General features: G+C 37.8%; 1 protein-coding gene across 55 annotated transcripts in view, besides 3 other annotated features; it reads left to right on the top strand.

The window, feature by feature from the left end:
• The window catches only part of PHF21A (PHD finger protein 21A), a 192,136-nt gene that overhangs the window by 111,090 nt on the left and 56,212 nt on the right, over positions 1-24,834 (top strand). The window lies entirely within an intron of this gene.
• Positions 9,022-9,644: an enhancer, noted in NCBI's record as "OCT4-NANOG-H3K27ac hESC enhancer chr11:46022272-46022894 (GRCh37/hg19 assembly coordinates)". NCBI's record gives its function as "activates a minimal SCP1, AML or CMV promoter by ChIP-STARR-seq in naive H9 embryonic stem cells {active_cell/tissue: H9 hESC(naive)}" and the evidence as "EXISTENCE:reporter gene assay evidence [ECO:0000049][PMID:30033119]".
• Positions 15,412-15,957: an enhancer, noted in NCBI's record as "H3K27ac-H3K4me1 hESC enhancer chr11:46015959-46016504 (GRCh37/hg19 assembly coordinates)". NCBI's record gives its function as "activates a minimal SCP1, AML or CMV promoter by ChIP-STARR-seq in naive and primed H9 embryonic stem cells {active_cell/tissue: H9 hESC(naive and primed)}" and the evidence as "EXISTENCE:reporter gene assay evidence [ECO:0000049][PMID:30033119]".
• Positions 16,398-16,579: a silencer, noted in NCBI's record as "fragment chr11:46015337-46015518 (GRCh37/hg19 assembly coordinates)". NCBI's record gives its function as "represses an EF-1alpha promoter that drives an FKBP-Casp9 reporter gene in an ReSE screen in K562 erythroleukemia cells {active_cell/tissue: K562}" and the evidence as "EXISTENCE:reporter gene assay evidence [ECO:0000049][PMID:32094911]".

Raw genomic sequence — 24,834 nt, 5'->3', positions numbered from 1 at the left:
GTATAAGTAACATAATGTATTTAAGAGAAAAGCCTTTGTTAACTGTAATGTCAGTTATATTTACAAAATGCTGACATTTTAAAAATAGTTGTGTATTTTGGACTGTTCCTGGTCTCAGGTGACTTAATCATTGAATTATTAAATCTCCATTATTAATTTTCTTTAGAAATGCCCAGGAGACTGCTTCATGAGTGTATATCAGGAGAGAGCTTTAGTTTTTGTCTTTAAATGATTGTTCTCATTCCTGCAGTAACTCTCAAACTTGGCATATTTTTCTCCCCTTTCTTTTAGTATGATATGGTTAAGCAACTAAATGAATGTTCCTCAGACTTCCCCAAAATTTTTGATTCTGGGATAGAAGCAGGAATAATCTTTTGTTAGAAGCTGAACAAATTAGGATACTTATTTAATGAAAATACTGTAAAGTGACTGACGGCCCCTTTATCTGTTTCAAGGAAACACTTAGCACCTAATTGTGTAAGCCAGAAAAATGCAAGGTGATGAAAGAGTTATACCAGATGAAATGACTGTTATCCTGAGTAACCACACATTCTGGACCAAAAGACAAAGCAGAACACATAAAACAATGAACGAGCAGAATTATATTAATTGTATTGTGCAGTGACTAAGTGGATGGGCTCTGTAGCCAAACTGCCCAAGTTGGAAGTCTGCTCTGGCTCTGCTATTTGCTACTTTTGGAATGTTGGAAAGTTACTTTTCTGTGCTTTAGTTTCTCCATCTGTAAAATAGCATACTATATAGTACATATCTCCTAGGATTGCTTTGAAGATTAAATTATGTAATACATAGCGTGCTTAGAACTGTGCTTGCCTTATAGTAAGTACTATAATAAATGTGTGCAGCTGCTATTATCGTTACATGTTTAGATGTTAAATTGTATGGTTCAGACACTTGGTATAATAGGGTTTCACAGATCATTCTAGGCAGGTAGAGTCAAGAAAAGTTTTATAAAGGAAATGGAATGTGTCAGAACCCTCAAAGGTAGATGGTTAAACAGAATTGGGTGAAAGAAAAAAGGTACTCCAGGACCAGGGAACATCATGAACAGAAGGTGAGAAATGTGAACTAATGGCCGGGCGCAGTGGCTCACCCCTGTAATCCCAGCACTTTGGGAGACCGAGGCGGGCAGATTACCTGAGGTCGGGAGTTGGAGATCAGCCTGGCTATCATGGTGAAACCCTGTCTCTACTAAATACAGAAAATTAGCTGGGCATGGTGATGCACGCCTGTAATCCCAGCTACTCAGGAGGCTGAGGCAGGAGAATCGCTTGAACCCAGGGGGTGGAGGTTGCAGTGAGCCGGGATCACGCCACTGCACTCCAGCGTGAGCGACAGTGAGACTCCGTCTCCAAAAAAAAAAAAAAAAAAAAAAGTGAAATGTGAACCAATTTGTTGAGTTCACTGAGCAGGGAAGAGTCCAGTCTGATTGAAGGATCTGATTAAGATGGAGGGTGAACACTGGTCAAATAAGTAGTGGAATGGGAGTGGATAGGGTTGACAAGATTATTTTGTAGTTGCATTCACATTTTACAGTTGCAAACATAGCATTTTGCAGTTGAATTTACATTTATTTACTTAAATCTAACAAAAATTATATTCAGATTTATTTATATGAGATATGTAAAACATATATTATTATTTTCCTTTTATTTTATAAATGAATATACTGGAACTCAGAGAGTGTGACTTGTCCAGCAGCACCAGGTTTTCATACACAAAACCGAGTCACATTTCCACCATATCTTGCCATTTCTCTTCCTTTGCTAGATATACAGGTAAATTTGACAGCCAATCAAAGCAGACTCTTTTCCCGTCTTCTACCTTTGACCCATGGAGTAGCTTTCAAGACATTGGCACTTCTCTACTGAAGCAAATCTGGGTCAAGATGAGATGTATGCTGCCCATTTCCTGAGTCCTTCAGGAAAGCAAGAGAGGAATTTTGATTAAGTTTAGCTCATCTTTTCAGAACCCAGGCCATATGTGGTCCATAGTGTCCCGGATATGCTTCACAGTGTGGAACTCTGCTCTGTATTTTCTTTAATAAGGACACACACACAGGAAAATTTCAATTGAAGACCTCACAAATGTTTTGAGATTTTATTGAGTTATCATCTGAACATTATGGATTAGTCTAGGATTTCACATGATAGAGTGTATGGGCGTATGTGAGTAAACAAATACACATTGTAGGGGAAGGTGCTGAAATGTTAAAGTTAACATTCCCAAATAGAAAATGGGATAGTTTGCAGGTTACTTTCTGAACTTCACTTCGTGTTAATTTTCACCTACCAGTTGGTGGGTAGAACAACATTAAACACATTTTACTTTAGTACCCTTCTGTTCTTATCTGGAGCATGGTAATCCCAAGTACAGACAGAAAAAGAAGAAGCAGATATGCGATTAAAAATGAAAATAACATAACAACACGGATTATTGTGATAGATCCTGTACCTTTTTAAAGACTCTGACATTCCACTTAGGAGTAAGATGGAAAAGTCCCTTGTTCTAAAATTTGAAAATGATAAAAATAAGTCATATTAATGGAAATTAAAGAAAGAATATGTCCATTGTTAGGTTATGTAAAGGGTACACATCTCACTTCTTTCACATCGTTTTTTGATTTAAATTAATGTAACTAAATTTTAAAATGACGGATTTAATATTCATGCTAGCAGTTTATTTTTAATGTGAATAAAATTAACAGTAAAACTATCATAAAAGATAGATGGGGCCGGGCACGGTGGCTCACACCTGTAATACCCAGCACTTTGGGAGGCCACAGCAGGCGAATCACCTGAGGTCAGGAGTTCGAGACCAGCCTGGGCAACAGGGTGAAACCCCATCTCTACTAAAAATACAAAAATAAGCTGGACATGGTCGTGGGCACCTGTAAACCCAGCTACTCAGGAGGCTGAGACAGGAGAATCACTTGAACTTGGGAGGTGGAGGTTGCAGCGAGCCAAGATCACGCCATTGCACCCCAGCCTGGACAAGAGTGAAACTCCATCTCGAAAAAAAAAAAAAGAAGAAGAAGAAAAAAGGTAGATGGAAGTATCTTCTGTAAAGTGCCACAGATTCCTGGCTTCAGCGCTACCTGGATTCCTTGAAAAGACAGGGGGCCCTTTTCTCATCTCTTAGAACCTCACTATCACTTTGCATGTTTTTGAACACATGGTAGGTATGCAGTGAGCTAGTGTTGATAGATGTCTCGTCACGTTATGGTTGGTTGGAGGGAAGAAAGATCACTTTTTAAGTTAGTCACTCTATATTTAAGTGTTTTTGTAATGGGAAATCACCTGTAAAACGAGCTTGCAGGAACGCTCTAAAGATTAAAACTGTGAAGTGTGTGGCATATGCTAGGCACTTAATAAGTAAATAATAGCTCTTGTTATTGTTATCTTTAAATTTTACTGACTGTTGTTCTGACTTTGACTTTGCATTTTCTGAGATCTTTGAAAATACATATTGTTAGTACCTGTTGATTTGTATTTTGTGCCTTTGAAGGAAAGAATAGAAATATTATTCCAAGGGAGGGTTGTTGGTCTTAAAATATTTTTGTGCCATTTTTATTGTAGGCAAGTATATCACATTCTAATAGGCGTTTAAGACAGTTCAATACTTAATACAAGTGTATCTTTTTAAATAAGACATTTGACCAGCTGAATAGATTGTAGTAACCTGTTGTAAACTAGTTTCAGCTGAAATCTCACTGATCCCACTAGATGGCGTTAGTTCATTAAGGCATAACTTCATCCTCTAGCTCAGGCAGACAGCTGCCTGTGTAGATGAACTGATTTTAGTATCTTTAGAGAGTGAATGTGGCAGTAAACTTTTAGACTCCTTGTTATTTATATAGCGTGATTTGTGGAGGTTATTCAGAAAGTTTAGGAAGATAGAACACTGAGGGCAGATTTATTCAAACTAAAGAACTATAACAAGTTGCAATATTTCGTTAGGTGCTTATTAATTCTGGATTTGACTTAGCCTTTGCCCTAATTGTATATACAACCGAAAGATTAAGAATTTACTGATTTCTCATGGTTTTTTGCCCTATTAAAATAATTCTTGTTTGGGCTTCTGGAAGCATTGGAAAACAAATGAAAATTGGGAGTACACATTTTTTAAAGCATGAAGTTTATAACATTTAATTTTAAAATCATTTGGCTCTTATTTATAGGAACTATGTCAACAGTGATCTACTTGTCAGTTAATCTGGTTCTTTAATCGTAAATGTAAAATAACAGTGAACATCCTAATTCTTTAATTCTCTCTTGTCTGAATTTGAATTATTTTTTATCTACAAAGACTGTTTTATATTAGACCAGCCCATTTTCAAAGTTTAAAATTGTGCTTTTCCACAGGCATTTGTAGGCTCCAAATAAACTTTTAAAATTGTATGTTTTATTTTTCTTACTGTTCTTGAGAGTTCTGAAGTTGAAGTTTTTTAAAGAAATGAATACGATTCACATGCAAAAAAAGCATTTCCACATTTCATTAGAAGTGTTTCTTTTTTCTTTATGATCAGATTCATACAGCTAGAGTAAATTGTTTCAGAATTGGTGGGATGATCCGTCTTGAGCTATGGAAGCTTAATTGTGCTACAAATATTATTCTTTTATTCATTGCTCATAGGGAGTAAGTAGTTGGTGCTGATGGTTCCCCTAATGTTTATTTAACTATTCCAGTATAAGGCAGTTCACATTTCTTAGTAAAAGGATCGTTGATAGTTTCATTTACCTAGTATGTAATAAAAAGCTGAGAATAATCAGGGGCATTTGCTAATGGAGTCAAAATAACCTGTTTTATAAGTCAGAACAGGAAGGTCTGAACATTTGGTGCCCATTAATTAAGTTAATATTGCAAATGAGGTTTTTGCTTTTCTTATTATCTTGAAACCTTCAACCAGAAAAAGCAACTGCCTAAGATTATTTGGTATATACAAGGCGTTAATATATTGTGCAAATATTCTACAGTCTGAAAAATCTCAAAATCTGAAACACTTCTGGTCCCAAGCATAAATTTGTATAAATTTTATACAATATTTTACATCATTTTGTACATGAAACAAAGTTTTGACTGCATGTTGACTATGATCTATCACTTGAGGTCAGGTGTGAAGTTTTCCAGTTGTGGCATCACGTCAGTGCTCAAAAAGTTTTGGATTTTGGAGCATTTTGGATTTCAGATTTTTCAGATTAAAGATGCTCAACCTGAATTTTTGGACTGCGGTTGCTCTTGGTAACTGAGCCTGCAGAAAGTGAAATTACTGATGTGGGGGACTGCTGTATTAGTTGGGTGTATACATGCATGTGTTAAAATTTAACTGCATAATCTCATTTTCCATATTCAGAGACATTTGCAGTAAGAGACAAATATTATTGTAAAGGGAAAAAGTAAACTTTGTTGTGTAGTGCTTATCTGTTTCCCTGTGTTTTTTCTTGAGGGTAGCCATGATAAAGAAGGGGAATAAATTTCGAACACATGTAAGTATGTGTGTAGTGAATGGGAGAGAGGGAGAGATGGTATTTTCAGGAGGCATAAACTGTATTTTACAAAGACATCTTTTAGATGATGAGTCCTTTAGTCTTGAGGAGACAGTTCAATGGAAAGCATTCTAGGCCTGGCAGATACAGCCCTCATCCACAGTAAAAGTTAAGTGCTATGAAAAAGTAATAGTCTGTGCTATGCAAACCAATATGAAGAAAAGTGAGTTTTTGTTTGATAAGAGGTCAAATGAGCACAGTTCTTTAAAACTTTTATGTTGAAGAAAAGAATAGAGAATATTCTGTCATAGCTACTGATAAAATATTTCAGTTTATGAAATATTGTCACTTACATGTTTTAAGTAGCTTTTAATATAATCTTAGAACAAGGACTTCCTTCTCTCCTCTACCCCTTCCCTACTCCCCAGTGTCTCTTATTTCTTATCTATTAAAAGTGAAATCCATTTCCTTTGGTCAAAAGTACAAGTTTTTTACAGTGTCCAAGACATCTCAAATTGATTCACTTTGTTATATAGAAAACACCATCTGTGATGTCAGACCATTTCTTAGAAAATTGACTGTTAAGAGCTCTTTTGCATTGAGTTATTTGGTTTTTATGAAGATGAACATTGGATGAAATTTCTTACCAGTATGCATAATTCAATGATTTTAAGAATCTATGGAAAATAAATTTAAACATTTTTAAATGAAATGGGATAAGAAAAAGGGGAGACAGGATTTTATTCATTGGTATATCTTTTTAATTTTCTACTTTGTGACTCCGTTTAAAAAAACCAACTCTGTAATTTTGAAGCAGAGATTCTGAAATTACCACTTTTCTAAAAATATCACTTACAGCTGAAACTTAATATATTGAAGCATTTTTGTTCTGAGGATGATACATATTTTCATAAAGATGTATTTCCAAATGGAAACAGCACTGAAGCTTCTGAAATAGGGAACCTTTCCAAAATAGGCTGTGGTTGCCTGGGTGAAGAATATTAGGTTGCAACACTCAAAAAGGAAATCCTGGCATAGGAAGCAATTGATGAAGGGCAAATGTCTGCAGAGTGTAATGAAGCTTTTAAAAGCACTTGTGTGGGCCTGCATGCAAGGCCTTGCCAGTACTTTTCAAATTAAAATTCATGTGCTCTGTAGTGTGCTGAGCCATACTCATACTTCCATCTTTACTTCTCTTCTACATAATATATCATTCTTATTTTTAATCTTCTATAAGTACTAGTCATCATCCTAGTGAGAATTGTAGCGTTTTCTCACTCTGCCCTTCGTGAAAATGTCATCATCATTATGGGCAGCAGGGCAGCTTTATGGTGTTTTAAAAATCAAGTTCATCAGCATTTTTAAGCTATCAATTTCTTGTTTTAGTGTCATTAGTACTATGAATATTGAATATTTTATGACTCTTTAGTTTTATAAAATATTTTTTTCTTTTAGCAGTGGGGGAGAGGATAGGTATTATCCTCATTTTGTAACAGTATTAACACCGAAGAGAGTCTGAGTGATGACTAGACACATAGATGGTGTGAAAAGAAAACTTGGCATTTTTTTTTTTTTTTGAATGTTAGCCTTTAACCCAAGCTCTTTCCTCCATACACTATATGCACAAAGTTTTTAGGACTTTTTTTAGTGGCACTCTCATATACAGATTTTCTTTTCAAAGCAAGAAATAATCTGAGCTTTAAAAAGATTCTATTGAGGAAATTATTCTACTCCTGTTTTTATAGTCTCAGAATGTCTCAAGATAATTTTAAATGGGTTTGTGCTATTTGGGGGAGAAGAGAAAGTCACAGAAACTTACCTGATTTTGCAAATCCAAAACAGTTAGAAATCATAGTATTCAATCTTTAGAAAAATTTCTGTAGCAGATATTTATCCAATTAATTCATTTTATTTGAATTCATTTAATTTGAGCTGTGTTTTAAGTAAAAAGGTATCAATGATCTACTTAATGTTAAATACATTGGGTGTTTTTTTGTTTTGCTTTGTTCTAGAGACTTTTTTTTTCATTACAAATTTCGGCCTTGGGGAAGAAGGGTCTTTTGAATAAAGATAAAACTAGTTCTGTGGAGGGGTTTGAGGGGGTGCCTCTAAATTCCCTGAAATGTGTGCAAAATTGTTTTATATGTTTGCACACATAGGACATTTTACGGGGACAGAGTCCAAAGTTCTTCATTATATCCCTTAAAGGTGTATATGACATCCCCTTTATCTAATGGTAATATCTGTGACGTAAATAAGTTCCCTTATGAAGTTTGAATATACAGCACTTTCTGCCCTTAAATGAAAAAGGCCATGTGTGAATTCCTTTTTTTTTCCCCCAAATAGTGCTTTCAAAAGCCCAGAAGTATTTGCTGAGGGTGGTTCTCAAATAAATCATCATTTATAAATGGAAAGAGATATGGTAGGTTATTATTGGAAAGTTAATAAATTTTACAAATTGTAGTAAAGTTACAAATTAGTTTATTTCTGAAGCATTAGCCATTCCACAAATATTTTGAGGACTATGCATTCTAGTTATGAAGGCCAAATATAGTAACAAATGGTGAGGATGGAGCAAAAGAAAAAGTTGCCCAAAGGAGCTCAACCCACCATTAAAACCTAGCCCAGTGTGCCAGATTATAATGATGTAAATCACTAATGAATATCATGTTATTTGTAAGGGAGTGTTTAAAAACATTAAGTGAAGTAGTAATTTTTCAGTAGTCTAAATTTTAATGAAAGCATTTACTTATGTAAATTGGAGCTTTATTTTTATATATTAGTTTTACTGTTTTGTTTTCACTAAAAATAGTCACTCTTTTCTTTATATTTTCTCATGAAATCCTTCCGAACCACTTCTAGAAATGGCATCGTCTTGCCATAAGTATTTTGTTTTCTCCCCATCTAGTTTTTATGAAGTAGTGCTAACTCTGCCTTAATTTGATTTGGCATCCCTGCAATTGAACATTTGTAAGTATCTTGTATTATGGCCCATCTGGGTTGTCATAGAAACCAAAGACCTCCATCCTCTTCCCTCTAGTTAAAAATGGAATGCAAACAGGGCTTCAAAGTGACGTTTTTCTAGTACGAGTGACAGCCCTGTGAAGTGCAGAACAGAAAGGTTTCTTATTGGTTTTATTCTCCCATGGCCTATCATACCAGTTAACTCTGATGCACACAGCCTTTCTCTTGAAAATCTGGCAAGATACTAATGGAATTTTAAAAATGTAAGCATGGGGGAAAAGAATGTAGTTAATCCTTTTCCTGTTCTTTTCTTATACAAAAATTCAGTGTTAGCTAGCAGTGTTTTTGTTTTCCTCCCTATGTTATTAGGTGGTCTGTTGATGCTGTGGTGCATGTGACGGAGACACCAACTGGAGCTTCTATTGTTAGTCTTGTTATTTATTTCCTAGGTTATATCAATGTGGGCTTATCTCATTAGAATCTACAGGTGCATTGGCTAAGTACATGGCAATACTTTATCGGAATAGAAATTTGTTGATAACAGTGATATCTAGTGTGCTGTCAATGGACCTGGTGACAGAACATCTTAGAGCCCCATTTCCAGCCCCCCTGGTGGTCACAGAACCTTTGACTTAACCTTGATGGTTTTTCAGTTTCCACATTCCCTTCAGATTCTCTACCAGAACCATACATGGCTTTAAGTTTTTCTTCTTAGACTTCTGTGATGTTTCTGCTTCTGAAGCAGCTATGTTAGTAAGTTCCAGTGAATTATTTCAGTTGTGTTAGCAAAATGTCTGATTTTATGGTTAAGATATGTTGAGCTATTGCTGTAGCATTACTTAGAGTTTAGAGTGTCACATTCTTATTTTAACATAGGTTTTGAATATAGAAGATGACACAGTGACCTCTGAACGTGAAACAATGAAAAAGTGACATATAAATTTATTTATTTATTTATTTATTTATTTATTTTTTTGAGACGGAGGTTCACTTTTGTTGCCCAGGCTGGAGTGCAATGGTGCGATCTTGGCTCACTGCAACCTCCATCTCCTGGGTTCAAGCGATCCTCCTGCCTCAGCCTCCCAAGTAGCTGGGATTACAGGCACCCACCACCACACCTGGCTAATTTTTGTATTTTTAGTAGAGATGGGGTTTCACCCTATTGGCCAGGCTGGTCTCTAACTCCAAACCTCAGGTGATCTGCCTGCCTCAGCCTCCCAAAGTACTGGGATTACAGACGTGAGACACCATGCCCAGCCATAAATTTATATCTTAATAGGAATGTTTCAGAGGGGTTGGATTAAAATCATTAGACAATTGAATTTGACAGATCATTGGTCAATTTTAAGTGTCTTTACAACTTTTCAAAAGAAAAACGTTATAGAGTCTTTAAAGCTGTTTAAAATTATTCACCATTTGACTGTTACCTAGTTTCTGGTAATTGTGTACTTGTCTTTAGTCCCATATCGCAGCTAATGGTCATTTTCAGCAGTGAATTCAGAAGTGCTATGAGTACTATCATATCTTGATGAGAGAGATCCTGCAACTCTCAGTAGAGTATGAAGAAGTAGTGCTTAGCTTCTGTTACAGCTAGAGGTGAGAGAATATATTTTCTAAATAACACTGTATTCCTTGGCATATAGTGTAGAAGTGAATAATTTGTTTGCATAGCATAGTGAGGGAAATAGTGTAGCAGTTTCTTCGTGCTAAATATGTTGGTTTCTTCTCTATAGTTTGCTGCCTTCACTAACAATTTGACTGGTACTATTGTGTTGTCTTATTTTGCTTACACCTATCAAGCAGTTAAAAGGGCTAATGTACTGTCCTCAGCTCTCTAGTCAATCGAAAAATTAGAATCTCCCCTAGATCATTATTTTTACTTATCAATGTTGTTTAAAAAGACTAGAGATGTTGCTGGTTGTTTAGTAAATGTCATGTTGCAGCCTTGCAGAATATTGCGACTTTCTCTTAGCACAGAGGATAAGACAAGCCTTCCTGTTCACCACTGCTATGCCTCATCCTCAAGAGAAAAGTTACGATGTTTCTATATACTGGAGGCAGTAGGTGCTTGAACAAAATGAAACATGATGAATTTCTCACCCACTGGGATACATAAATTCTCATGTAGGTATCAGTCCCTTATCATCTCTGTGCTTTGTCATCACTAAATAAGTAACATAATATTTGGTCCTTTCAAATCTGTGTTTTTAGATGTATTTCTGCATGTTATTGACATTGTTCTTCCTCTTCTAACCCACTAATCCATTAAATATTCAGCTCCTCCTAAATTATACATTTTTTGTCCTCTATAGATATATTTTTAAATTTCCCTTCTCAAAATAAGCTTGCATTTTGAAGTACATTTGTTAGAAACAAGGTAGAATAATTCTACTTTCTAGTCTCAAGGAACAGTCTTCTAAATGTAAAGAATAGAACCTGGTGGAAGTATATACTATGTGCTATTTCACTGGGTACATATTAGTTTATCTGTTTAGAGACCTATAATCAACCACTAGCAGGGAAACTTGCCTTACTCCATTTCTGCAAAGTAATAATTTTTAATTATTATTGATAGACCAAGTTTTATTTTTAATCTCAAAAAAGTTTCCTTGAGTTAGCATTGCACAAAATATATACTCTCCCAGGTTTGATCTTGACCTCTGTTTGTGGTCCTGTTTTCTCTATTTACTGCTCTCTTCTCTGTTTACATAGTTTTTAAATTTTCTAATAATTTTCTTTGTTGATACTCTGTAAGAAATGGTAGGGTTCTGGCCGGGCACAGTGGCTCACGCCTGTAATCCCAGCACTTTGGGAGGCTGAGGCGGGCAGATCACTTGAGCTCAGGAGTTTGAGACCAGCCTGGCCAACATGGTGAAACCCTGTCTGTGCAAAAAATATAAAAATTAGCCAGGCGTGGTGGCAGGTGCCTGTAATCCCAGCTATTCGGGAGGGAGGCTGAGGGAGGAGAATTGCTTGAACCCAAGAGTCAGAGGCCGCAGTGAGCTGAGATCACACCACTGCACTCCAGCCTGGGCAACAGAGTGAGACTGTCTCAAAAAAAAACAAAAACAAAAAAAGGCCGGGTGTGGTGGCTCATGCCTGTAATCCCAGCATCCCAGCACTTTGGGAAGCCGAGGTAGGTGGATGACTTGAGGTCCGAAGTTCGAGACCAGCCTGACCAACATGGAGAAACCCCGTCTCTACTAAAAATACAAAATTAGCTGGGCATGGTGGCGCATACCTGTAATCCCAGCTACTCGGGAGGCTGAGGCAGGAGAATCACTTGAACCTGGGAGGTGGAGGTTGCGCCGAGCCAAGATCACGCAATTGCACTCCAGCCTGGGCAACAAGAGCAAAACTCTGTTTAAAAAAAAAAAAGAAAAAGAAATGGTAGAGTTATTTTGCATGTACATCTTCTGTTTCCTAAAATAGATGTGGAAACTTCTTAAATAATTTAACTTGTTAATATACTACATCTGTTACAATACTATATACTCAGTAGGCATATTCATTTAATATTGTCTTCAAACCTTATACTGCCTACCACTCTATCCATGGCCCTAACATCCTTTCACATCTAAGATGAGAGAGTGATTAGCACAGTGCTTGCAAAGCAGCAGGCAAATTGATATTTGTGGATGACTCAAAGGATGTTCTGAGAACCTTTTCTAAACTGCTTTAAATTTGTGTGCTAATAACACAGATGGAAACCTAGCTGTGAGTAAGTTACCAATCTTTAAAACAAAGACGACTAGAATGGTTTGTATTTGTAGTTCATATTCTTGTCCTCTGGGATTCAGTAATCTTTTTAGCCTCTCTCCACAGTGGTACATGTATATTCCTGGGTAGCAGGCTGATTGCTACTGATGGTACTGAAATGTTTTGATAGGAGCAAAACTGTGCTGCCATCCTCCTTACGAGCCCAGTGTTCAGAGGTGACCTGTTTGCACATGGGCCTGTGGTGTATCACTTTTTTATACAAGAGCAGTAGAATAAGGTCTGACTCGAGTTGATTGAAGTGGTAGTTTTAGGTTCTGATAAGAGGACCTATTGCTGGTGAGGGAGGTTGAAATTGCAGAATGAGTTTGCAGCATGAGGCAGGTCTGCCCAGCAGCAGGTTGATTTGCACCGTGAGACAAGCAGCACACATAAACAGATGGCCCAACAATGAGTCAGAACAACAGATCCTGAACAGGTAGATTGGCTTTTGTCTGATTCTTAACGTGGTTATAGAGAGTGGAATTTTAATTTGTCTGCCACTTTTAAGGCTGCAAAACAAGCATTTAGTGAAAGAAATTCTATTCATTGGGAAATGAAAAATGTTATTAGGCAGAGGAGAAATCTGATTGTCACTGGATCTAGACATTGAGAAACCAGCATTTTCAGGAGCTGTTTCACGTAGGCATGGGCTGGCTTCATCTTTTGGCATACAGTTATTCAACTGTATCATTTTGCTGAATCCTCTAGTATGTAACGTGCAGCAAGAAAATAGTAAAATGATGTCCTTTATATTTGGATTTTAAGAAGTATAGTCCTGTTATTTGCAAGTACACTTCTGATATTTGGGTTAAGAAAAGCATTTTTAAAAAGGATACACTAGTGATAAGTGTCATAAAAACATACAGCAATGTAAGTTTGTAATGGTATTAAGCAAAGGAAAAACATTCATGGAAAAAAATCCCTCTGTTTCATACATCAAGCATAGGAAAAAGGAAGAGTGTAGTAGAATTCCTAGATCTAATCATCCATCTTCAAAATGTAAATGTAAACAAACATTTCTCCGCCAAACACTTTCAGAAATACTAAGCGTCTTATTAATTTTCAAAACCAAGATTTTGTGATAGTTTTATATCTCTAGAAAAGTGTTTTAAATATGGCATTTGGTGAATAAATTGGTGTACCACTTGAGTTCCTATACTTTAATTTTGTGATTATCACATTCACTGTACCATAGACTAACATTTACAATGGATACATTTGTGCCCAAAGAAAGTAAGTTAGTAGTCAGCAGTATTGTTAGGATAACTATTGACCTTTTTTAGGTTACTGTGGTTAGGGATATACTCAGAAACACAAACTGCTATGATGGAAACTTTATTCTGAGTTGCTGTGAAGGCTGTTATGCCATTAGTTAAGGCAGAGTTATAAATATAGCTACCTTTTGTTTCCCAAATAATTGGGATCCTATTCAAGATTAATTGTGCCAACACCTACTTTCAAAATTGCCTTTCATTTTATCTGCTCAAGCATGTACACCTAGCCTTTGCTCAGGGTAGAAAAAGCACTAATCTACCTTTGTGCATATGGAGAGTAGCATTCCTGGCACTGCATTAAAAACTCCAGGAGAATGCATTATTAATGGAATACGTTTCTCTCTCTCTCTCTGTCTCTCAAAAAGGGAAATCATTTATGTGGCCACTGTCAAGGATGATAGGGACAGACTTAGTGCTAGTTCTTAACCAGCATATTTTTTAAGTGAGTTACTGAGCAATACATAAAGAGAAATGCTTTAGCAAGTAAATACCACATGTAGCTTGTAGACACCAATGTGATCTAATTGTAATATAGATCACTCTATAATGTGTCAACCTGTAAGCTTTACTACCTTGAGTACTAGATCCTATGTTTTTAATAGGATGCCACATTATCAAAGGTTAGAAAAACAATAATGGCTAGGCATGGTGGCTCACTTTGGGAGGCCGAGCCAGGAGGGTGACTTGAAGCCGGGGGTTTCTGACCAGCCTGGGCAATTCAGTGAGACCTCATCTCTACAGAAAACTTAAAAATTGGCTGGATTTGGTGGTGTATGCCTGTAGCTCTAGCTACTTGGGAGACTGAGGTGGGAGGATCACTTGAGCCGGGGAGTTTGAGGTTATAATGAGCTATGATCACACCACTGCACTCCAGCCTGGGTGACAGTGGAGACCCTGTGTCTAAATAAATAAATAAAAATTATTTTTTTAAAAAAAGCCATATACTGAAAATAATAATGAATTTGGGGTTTGAATATTATGAAGATTACCAGAAGGTTTTTGAATCACTTTTGATTTAAATAAGCTCCCATCATTTGTTTACTGGTTTCCAGCTTTATGTTTTTGGTTTGTTTTTGTCTACACATGTATAATTGAGCTGAATATGTGTGCCAATAAGTAACAGAGCTGCGTTCAGCTTCTGCTTAAGTCTGCAGTATTAAAGTCTTCCTTTTGTTACATGTGCTGGTCTTGCAGACTCTGTAGAGCCTTATCAAATGCAGCCAGTTGGTGCTGCTGGTATGAAAGCACAGGGGAGCTCTCATGTGGAAGGTTAATGGAGTGTAATTATAAAGAAAAATGAACTGCTCAACCACTCTATCTCACTCTACCTGCACCAAGAGTGACAAGTGCTCTGATCTTTTATAAACCCGGGAGTAGAGGTTTAACCATCTAAAATTATGACAGTATAACTGTCACACAAACATGCTGTGAAGTATAGGTATGCACCCCTGTGTAAGAATGATTCCTTCCTGTTAGGGGAGTCTCTGTTAGGACAGGAGCACCTTCAGCCACCAAGAGCAGCTGCTTGTTAAACATTGCACTTTTGTGTCACTTCTTTTCCACTGAATTTGTTCCATTTTCTTTTCCTAAAAGTGCTTTCTCCCCTATGATTAGTGGCAAAAGTGGATAGCCTGCTGATGAGTGGGTTCGTTCCACTGTATCCCATCAGACAACAAATATCCATGCTTTCTCCAAGCAAGCCTATCACACTTGCCTTAGCAGCCAACCTGAAATCAGCTGTATTCTTATAAAGGGGATGGAAATAATTGTCTCTTCTCATTCTCAACATCTAAGCAGAGTAGACTCTAGGACGCTTAGGTACAGTCTGACAATTAGGTCTTTCTCCCAGGTCTGCATATAGCACAGAGATTATACACATTTCTGTGGGCTCAAGATGGAGTTAGATTCTTACGTCCTTTGGTTGAAAATATTATCAGAAATATTTAGTAAGGAAAATGCAGCACAGAGGGACAAGGACAGAGAAATACCAGGGAGACATTCAAAGCGTGTGATGACTAGACAAACTGTTACTAGTGTGTCACGTTGCCAGTGAATATTGCAAAGTCGTCCTACTACTGGAACATCTGAAGGGTAAGCTAAGCGAGCTGGGTTGCAGAGCTGGGTTGATTTAGAGCTTTTGCCAGCTCAGCACAGAGTTGAAATAAGGTGTTGCAGAATGATGCAACAGCAAAACCCCTGACATCTTGTTCTTACAAAGCCTAAAACATAACCACTCTTGGTGAGGCTGTGCTGCCTACTGAGATAAGTAAATTCAGCATCACATACATTAGGCCTGTGGAGACTAAGCAGAAGTGATGGCTGCGTCACTTACACAGCAGTCTTACTGACTGAGCCCTGGTCTTGCCTGATACGTGGAGGAGGGGCAGCCAGGATTCCTAGTAGCAGCTCTGAAAGCAGGGAGGCTGGTTTTAAAACCTCTCTGTGTGGTTTGTAATGGTATTTCCGCAGCCCCTTTGCATATGGGTTTTGATTATCTGAGCTCTATTTCAAAAGACAAATAGCTACATAATTTTTATGGCAGTAAGATAAATCTGTTAGTGAATCAAATTTTTAAATCCAGCTTTAGTGGATGGTAAGTAAAGTTTGCTATGATTTACTTTAAAAACCCACCAGAGCCCAACACTTTACCCAGTCTAAATGTTGCCAGTGTCCATTCCATTTTTAAAATTGAAGTCATTATTCCAGAATTGAAGTTTTTGGCTTGAGGCTGTAAGGTTAGCAACAGAATCTTAAAATTGTCCATCATACTATGTAGACGAGGAAGTATATCATTCTTGTTGGGTTGGCTCCAGCATTTATCCCTGCTCAGCTGCCCTGCCAAAGAGACTGTCTTGGATGACAGAAGTACAGTCTCCCTGGCACTTTGAAGCAAGTTATCTAGCCCTGCCCAGTCCCTTTAGGAACGTTCCCAGCCTTTCCAAGTACTTAGAGCAGTTTCTAGGAAATTCATCTCAGATAGGCACTGTCGGTGTAACAGGCTCCAGAGCTATCTCGCCAGCTGCCCGAGCCTCATCTCTGACCGTCCCGTTTCCCAGCATCACTGCATCCACTGGCTCCTCTCCTGCTTGGCCCTTTCAATTTATTGTGTAGGTTACTCTACTTCCTTGGATCTCAACAGCCTGACTCTGTTTCCTGGCAGTTGACTGTATCTAGAGAATATGACCAGAAAGGGACATCTCTCCCTGTTGGCCCAGCTCCCCATACTAGTGTACTCTGCATTCAGTCAGTCTGCTTGGATGCCACCCAACCTCCTGTGAGCCCCAGAAAAGTTGGCTCAGAAAAATGAGCTCCAGCTTTTTGTTAGTGAACAGAGCTTCATTCAAACTAGTTTTCCAGAGGGCAGGGATTCCATATTCTAGTCCCAGTTTTACTATCACAGAACTGTGTAACTTTTGATTGGTCACCCATCACCATGTGCCTCACTCTCCCCATCTGAATCAATGACAGTTAACATAATTAGCCCTGCACAGTTCTGAGAGTCTTATTTGATAAGAGGGTTTCAAAATTTACAATCGTAAAGTGCTGTGTAAATATGTGATTACTTATACACACAAGCACACAGAAAAATCACATCATTAGGGAAATATTTGTGGAAAATAGTACCATCATTTTTCATTTAGGGTCTACTCAGAAAGTAAGATTCTTGAAAAATTATTAAATAGTCGTATGTTTATAACATGAATTGTTTTTTCTTAATCATGTAAATTAAATGATTTTGAAAAATCAGAGTACTCAGAAATGAGAACCAGTTAAATGTAAAAGATGTTAGTTTCAGTGTTCTGGTTGGATTCCAAGTGAGATTATTACATTTTGCTTACTGTAATTCCCTAGATAGCTTCAGCAAGGTAGTTTTCAGTTTTCTGACCTCTACTCTACAGCTCTTTAAACAACTGCTTTCTCCACCACTTGAGGTAGCTGCGGTTCAGTGGTAGAGGAACGGATTTCAGTTTATCCTTGTGTCAGTCTTATGTGACAGGGGTTAAATTATATGTAAGGTACTTTAAGCTGTTTTGATAAAGTAGGCACCATTATGAAACGTATTACTACCATTTTCATTTCCACTGTTATATTTTGTATATAGTTGTGTGTTTCCCTGTGTCTTCAGATATTTTATCTTAGCATATTCTCAGAACTCATTCATATAACTTGCCTTTTGTCTATGCATTTTCCCACTAAAGTCACATCCCAGCTCTTCCATTATGATAAAATTTTGATTAGTCAGAAGGCCATTTGAATTTTCTGGTTATCTAAAATCATTTTTGGTTCACCTTGTGATGTCAAAAAATTTTCTTTTTTGAGACGGAGTCTCGCTCTGTCACCCAGCGCTCAGGCTGGAGTGCAGTGGCGCGATCTCAGCTCACTGCAAGCTCTGCCTCCTGGGTTCACGCCATTCTCCTGCCTCAGCCTCCCGAGTAGCTGGGACTACAGGCGCCCGCCACCATGCCTGGCTAATTTTTTTTTTTTTTGTATTTTTAGTATAGACGGGGTTTCACCATGTTAGCCAGGATGGTCTTGATCTCCTGACCTCATGATCTGCCCGCCTCAGCCTCCCAAAGTGCTAGGATTACAAGCATGAGCCACCATGCCGGGCTGAAAAATTTTCTAAGTAATGTCTAATTCCACTTTCCTAGTAGTTACAGTTCAGTGAGTGTAATTACCGTCTGAGGGTTGAAAACTGGTGGCCCATGGGCTTTATCTATCAGCAAAGATACTTTGTTTGACTCACAATATTAAAAGCAGTTCATTGATTAGTGTTATTAGGGCACTGCCTCTCCAGTTGATGTCAGTCCCTATCATGCCTAGTATCTTACACCTGGCCTGCTTCATTCTCTTGTATTAATATTACTTGCCTGGCAATAGGTAATAATCCTATTACATGTCTTGCAAAATGTAATCATCAGTTTACATGTTCACGTGAGTGAGATTTCAACCCCTGAATGAAACTGTTCTTTAATGATTTAGCTTCTTTGGGTGTGTCAGGATCATCTTTGTGAGCATTTTTCTCTGTGCAGTGCTATAGAGGTAAAGATATACATCAGGAATGTATTCTTGCCATTCAGAGATTCATAAAATTTTAATAGAAGATAATTTAGAGATTGAGTGCAGAAGCTGAGACCAAGATTGGGTAAATAACTGACCAAAGGTCACAAACCTTGTTTAGTGACAGAACCTAGGTTTCTCGACCCAGTGTATTATTTTTACAGCACAATACTGCCTCTCTACTTATTTTTTCTAAAAGCAGAGCGGAGGAGAAAAAGTGCACGCGTGCATGTGTGTGTGTGTGTATAAGCTTACTGCAGCTGTATTACAGGTGTGAGGGCTCCAGATCCTTACCAGCAAGCCAGATACTGGTGTTGGGGGTTTGAGGTGGGAATATGGAATTAGTTATCAGGAGTTGGAACTCTTTAAGTCTGACTCTATCCCTGATTTGTGACCTAGGTTTAGTCACTTAATTACTCAGAGCCTCATTGTTCTACCTGGCAAGTAATATCCATCTGATATTATTACTTCGTTTTTATGTAACAGTTATAGAATTCACTAGCTACTACATTAGACCATATGGAAAAAATCAAGGTACTACTGTGATACATTCAGACAATGCAATATTATTGAGAGCTAAAAAGAAATGAACTATCAAACCATGAAAAACATAGAAGAACCTTACATGCTTATTACTGAGTGAAAGAAACCAATTTGGAAAGGCTGCATACTGTATGACTCCAACTCTATGACATTCTGGAAAGGGTAGAACTATGGAGGCAGTAAAAAGAGGAGTGGTTGCCAGAGGGTGAGGGAAGGTTGTGCTGAATAGACAGGCATAGAGGAATTTCAGGACAGTGAAACTACTCTGTGTGATAGTATAATGGTGGCTGTATGTCATTATATGTTTGTCTAAATCCATGGAATGTACAGCATCAGGAGTGAACACTAGTTTAAACTGTGGACTTCGACAGTATTGAGGTGTCAGTGTAGGTTCGATTGTAACAAATGTTCTGCTATGTGTAGCTTGTTGATAGTGGGGAGATGTGGGGTGGGGAGGCCAGGAGTATGTGGGAACTCTACTTTCTGTTCAGTTTTGTTCTGAACCTAAAACTGCTCTAAAAATAAAGTCTTCTTTAAAAAAAAAAAACAAATCAAGGGACTGCCTTTATGTTCATTGTAGTGTCCTCTTTTGACCATGCATGTCAATACTTTTGCTGTATGTAGAAACTGGAGAACAATACAGTAAAAGCATGAATCACAGCTTCAGTACTTAGGAGTATACTGGAAGAAGATGAAAATGGGCTAGGTGCAGTGGCACACACCTGTAATCCCAGCACTTTGGGAGGCTGAGGCGGGTGGATCGCTTGAGTCCAGGAGTTTGAGACCAGCCTAGGCAACATGGCGAAACCATGTCTCTACTAAAAATACAAAAAATTAGCCGGGCGTGGTGGTGCATTCGTGTAGTCCCAGCTCCTTGGGGAGCTGAGGTGGGAGGATCACTTGAGGCCAGGAAGTCAAGGCTGCAGTGAGCCCAGATCATGCCACTGCACTCCAGCCTGGGGGACAGAGTGAGATCCTGTTTGAAAAAAAAAAAAAAAAAAAAAAAAAAGAAGATGAAAATGCTATAAATGATTTTTACTGTGGCCATTCCATCCTTTCTAAAGTGTGAGAGGGGTGTGTGTATGTTTGTGTTAGTGGGTGCATACATGTGTATGTTCAGGTGTGAAGACTGTAAATATTTGTGTAGAAATTTGTGGATTAGATTTTGTAATTAGATTTTGTAATTTTCATCACCTGTGAAAAATGTTTTTCTTCAGGCTTAAGATTTAAAAAATTCTCTTTCTTTTAATTTTATTTATTTATTTTTTGAGTCAGGGTCTCACTCTGTTGCCCAGGCTGAAGTGCAGTGGCACGATCATGGCTCACTGCAGCCTCAACCTCCTGGGCTCAAGCCAGCCTCAGCCTCCTGAGTAGCTGATACTGCCGGTGTATGCCACCATCCTTGGCTAATTTTTGTATTTTTTGTAGAGACAGGGTCTCACTTTGTTGCCCAGGCTGGTCTCGAACTCCTGGGCCCAAGCAGTCCTCCTGCATTGGCCTCCCAAAGTGCTGGAATTATAGGCATGAGCCACTGTGCCCAGCTAAATTTTTTATTTTTTTATTTTTATTTTTATTTATTTATTTATTTATTTTGAGACAGTTTCACTCTGTCACCCAGGCTGGAGTGCAGTGGCATGATATTGGCTCACTGCAACCTCCACCTCCTGGGTCCAAGAGATGCTCCTGCCTCAGCCTCCCGAGTAGCTGGAACTACAGGTGCGCAACATCAGGCCCGGCTAATTTTTTGTATTTTTTTTTTTTTTTTTTTTAGTAGAGATGGGGTTTCACCGTGTTAGCCAGGTTGGTCTTGATCTCCTGACCTTGTGATCTGCCCACTTCGGCCTCCCAAAGTGCTGGGATTATAGGCATGAGCCACCGCGTCTGGCCCACCCCAGCTAAATTTTTAACCAAATTTGTTTTATTCATTAAGAGATCGTTCATGCTTTTCTTCTACAATGCTGAACCTCTCTCTTTAATAAGATTTGTAGTACTAATGATTTAAAACAAACAAAAGCAAATGTGTTCTGAAATTCTGAAAGATGAGTTCAGGTTTCTTGTGTCTCTGATGAAGTAAACTCAGATAAATACAGAGAAGTGCAAATTATCCTTTATCACATGTCTTGGAAGAGCCAATTCCATGAAGTTAATCAGTAATTATTTTGGCAGGCTGCACTTGTGAGGAACTTGCACCCTCCCTGTTGTTTGACGAGGGGTGTCTTGTCAGAAAGTAAATTTATAACATTGTTCATTTTTTTCTTTAAGTGATTGTAACAAATATTTGGTGGTAAATTTAACTACTGAAATTAGGAATACTTTGTGAAACTAAGAGGGTAGCATTCAGCAGCTTTAGAATCTTTTCTTTCTTTTTTTAAAGACAGTCTCGCTCTGTCACCCAGGCTGAAGTACAATGGCAGGATCATGGCTCACTGCAACCTCCACCTCCTGAGTTCAAGCAGTTCTCATGCCTCAGCTTCCCGAGTAGCTGGGACTACAATTGTGCCACCACCATGCCTGGCTAATTTTTGTATTTTCTGTAGAGACGGGATTTTTGCCATGTTGGCCAGGCTGGTCTCGAACTCCTGGTCTCAAGTGGTCATCCAGCCTCAGCCTCCCAAAGTGCTGGGATTACAGGGGTGAGCCACCACGCCTGGCCTAGCAGCTTTAGAATCTTTTAAAATTTATGTGCCTGTGCTATTACTGTAGATGATTTTTTAAATTATGATTTTAAGCATCAAGAGTGTGATATTAAGAATGTACTTTTGTTAAAAATACTTCCCAATTAAAAATGCCAGTGTTTAGTTATATACAAGTGTTACTTTTGTTTAAATGTAAGGCAAATATTACATTTCATCATATAATATTTTCTACATGATATATACTGCCTGCTACGATATATTTTTCTAATATTATTGTCTTTTTCTGTCTTCTAAGAAAACTTACAGAGTTGAGGATTCTTAAAAGGTATCCTCATCTTTGAAAATAATGGATCTATTTCTTAGTGGATGTATTCTGCATAGAATTTGGTTAAATAATCTGTTATATTTACCTCTTCTAGCATCTGATTCTGTCTTGTGTTTCTGTGAAAATGTGACTTCCTACATTATCTCAAATGGTACCTAGGGCTTGGAGTAGGTAAAACAATTTGTTTTGTCTGAGCAGTGTTCCATAAAATGATAGGGGCTTTGGTTTTGTTCCTCCTTTCCCCTCCTCCAATTTAGCATCATCACTGTACTTAAATTGTATTTTCATATCCAACTTGTCAGGGACAGCTACTGTGCAGCCATCTCCAGTCAGCATTCTTTTGTGAGGAAAACCACAGCAGCTACAGTGCAGAGGAATGGGAGAATTTCTGTAGTGTCCAAGACAATTCTGATATTAACAAAGCAGTGCTGCCTTTAGGTTGTGGGATACAGCCATGTAATGATGAATGACAAGCTGATGGTATGTGCAGCGGTGTTCTGTAAACAGACAGTTACAGAGGGACAGACGTTTTGCTCTATTGGAGCTTAATTTACAAATTAATAGCCTCTATGATATATCTTATTGTGGTACAAACACAATGATTCAGGTGCTTTTTTTTTTTTTTTTTTTTTTTTTTTGAGACGGGGTCTTGCTCTGTCACCCAGGCTGGAGTACAGTGGCGTGATCTTGGCTCACTGCAACTTCTGCCTCCTGGGTTAAAGCAATTCTCCTGCCTCAGCCTCCCGAGTAGCTGGGATTACAGGCGCCCACCACTATGCCCAGCTAATTTTTTGTATTTTTAGTAGAGACGGAGTTTCACCATATTTGCCAGGCTGGTCTCGAACTCCTGACCTTGTGATTCGCCCACCTCGGCCTCCCAAAGTGCCAGGATTACAGGTGTGAGCCACCACGCCTGGCCTCAGGTGCTTTTTTATGGTAACAAACAGCTAAATTGTGCAGATTATAAATGGTTCTTAGGTATTTACTGCGTCTAGGGTCTTTGATGGGTCAGGTTACATACATACATACATACATACATACATACATTTATTTATGATACAGTCTCGCTCTGTTGCCCAGGCTGGAGTGTAGTGGCATGATTATAGCTCACTGAAGCTTCAAACTGCTGGGCTTAAGGGATCTTCCTGTCTCAGCCTCCCAAGTAGCTGGGACTACAGGCATGAGCCACTGTGCTTGGCCCAGGTTACATTTAAATTGGGCATCTCTTTTACGCATTCATAATTATGGCCCTGAACCACCATAGAGGTATAAGAAATCTGGGATGTACCTAGATTTCCACAGGGATATATATCCTAATATATTTGATTTCTGAGATTAAAAGGCAACAGGTAGCATTCGCTTTGATATTGTACTTTCTTTTTGGCAGTTGTCATTAAAAAAAAAATAGCCAAACATAGATTGAACTAGCATTAAAATGATTAGATGTTAAAAATCAAGTGATTGAAATATAATTGACATTGGAAATAAAAGTCACATTTAATTAGCTGTTGCTCTGAGTTAAAAATTCATACTAGACAAATTGTGTCATTCATTAGTTACTATCCCTTTTTTTCACATTGCCCCTGACAGTTTCCTAAGCATTCCCCACCATTAATTAATTTGATTCCCAATATTTTTCTGAAGGAAGGAGGGCGGTATAGTTTAGTGCTTCAAAGAAATGTAGAAAACTTGAATGTAAGCCATCTGGACTTTTAGGTCTTTTATCACACATAAATATATTACAACTACCATTCCTAGTATGCATTGTTCGATTGTAGTTTATGTGTTTATACTTTTTTGCTGCAGCATCGTCGTATGTTACATATTAGAATCTGTAATTCTCTAGGGGTCACATCTCTCTTGAGTACAACAGCCACACTCTTTCTTGTTTGACACAAATTAAAGGCAGTCCCAGGTTTTTAGAAGGGTCTCTAAATTTAGGCAAAGTCTGACTATATCAATATTAGTCTTTTATAGTCATACATATCAAGTTAGGGGGAAGATGGGGTTGAGTTTACCTATTAGAGCATGAGTGAATTAAATAAGAAAACTGCATTTCAATCAGGCTAGCAAATAAAAGGTCTAAAGTCTAAATTTTTAGAGAGATGGACTGTAAATCCTAATGATATTAATAAAGGGTCTCATCTCCTATGGAGATGAGATGTAAAATCCATTGATGTAAATACCTCTGTGTGTGTGTGTGTGTGTGTGTGTTTTGAAGGAAGAATAAGCCCCAAAGAATATTTTTTAATTAAAAAAGTAAGCCGAAGTCTAATCAATACCATGATATATGCATTCTTTGCCATCTGTTAAACATCCATGCAGAGAATTTTAAACTTTACTGAAAAAAATCTCTGATAATTACAGTTGCTGCTGTTGTCAATTTGTTTATTTGTACTATATAAATTCCATGACAACTTGAGAACTATAAAATAATTATGTCCCCAAATCTCAAAACCAGGAAAGAGACCTTCTTTTGTAGACATTGTGTCCAGTTCACTGTGTAAGATGAGGTTGTAGATGCTGTTTCTGTCAAACAGGTGGTATTTTAAAAGGATATGTACTTTTTAAAAGAGGTTAAAAAGGGAAAGAAACTATTTGTCTAATTCTTTGTGAATCTCAGAGAGTCTGGGGAAAACTTTCTAGTATCTTACAAAATGAAGAAAGTGCAATTATTTTAGCTAAGTATATTTTTATAGCTTCTGCCACCAGTATTCCTCCCTGTCTTCCTCTGTTAGAATTCTATCCTGTGTCTTGCCTGGACTATC

This window comes from Homo sapiens, chromosome 11 (assembly GCF_000001405.40).
Source record: "Homo sapiens chromosome 11, GRCh38.p14 Primary Assembly".
NCBI lineage: Eukaryota > Metazoa > Chordata > Mammalia > Primates > Hominidae > Homo > Homo sapiens.
This window is presented reverse-complemented; position numbering and strand designations above follow the sequence as displayed.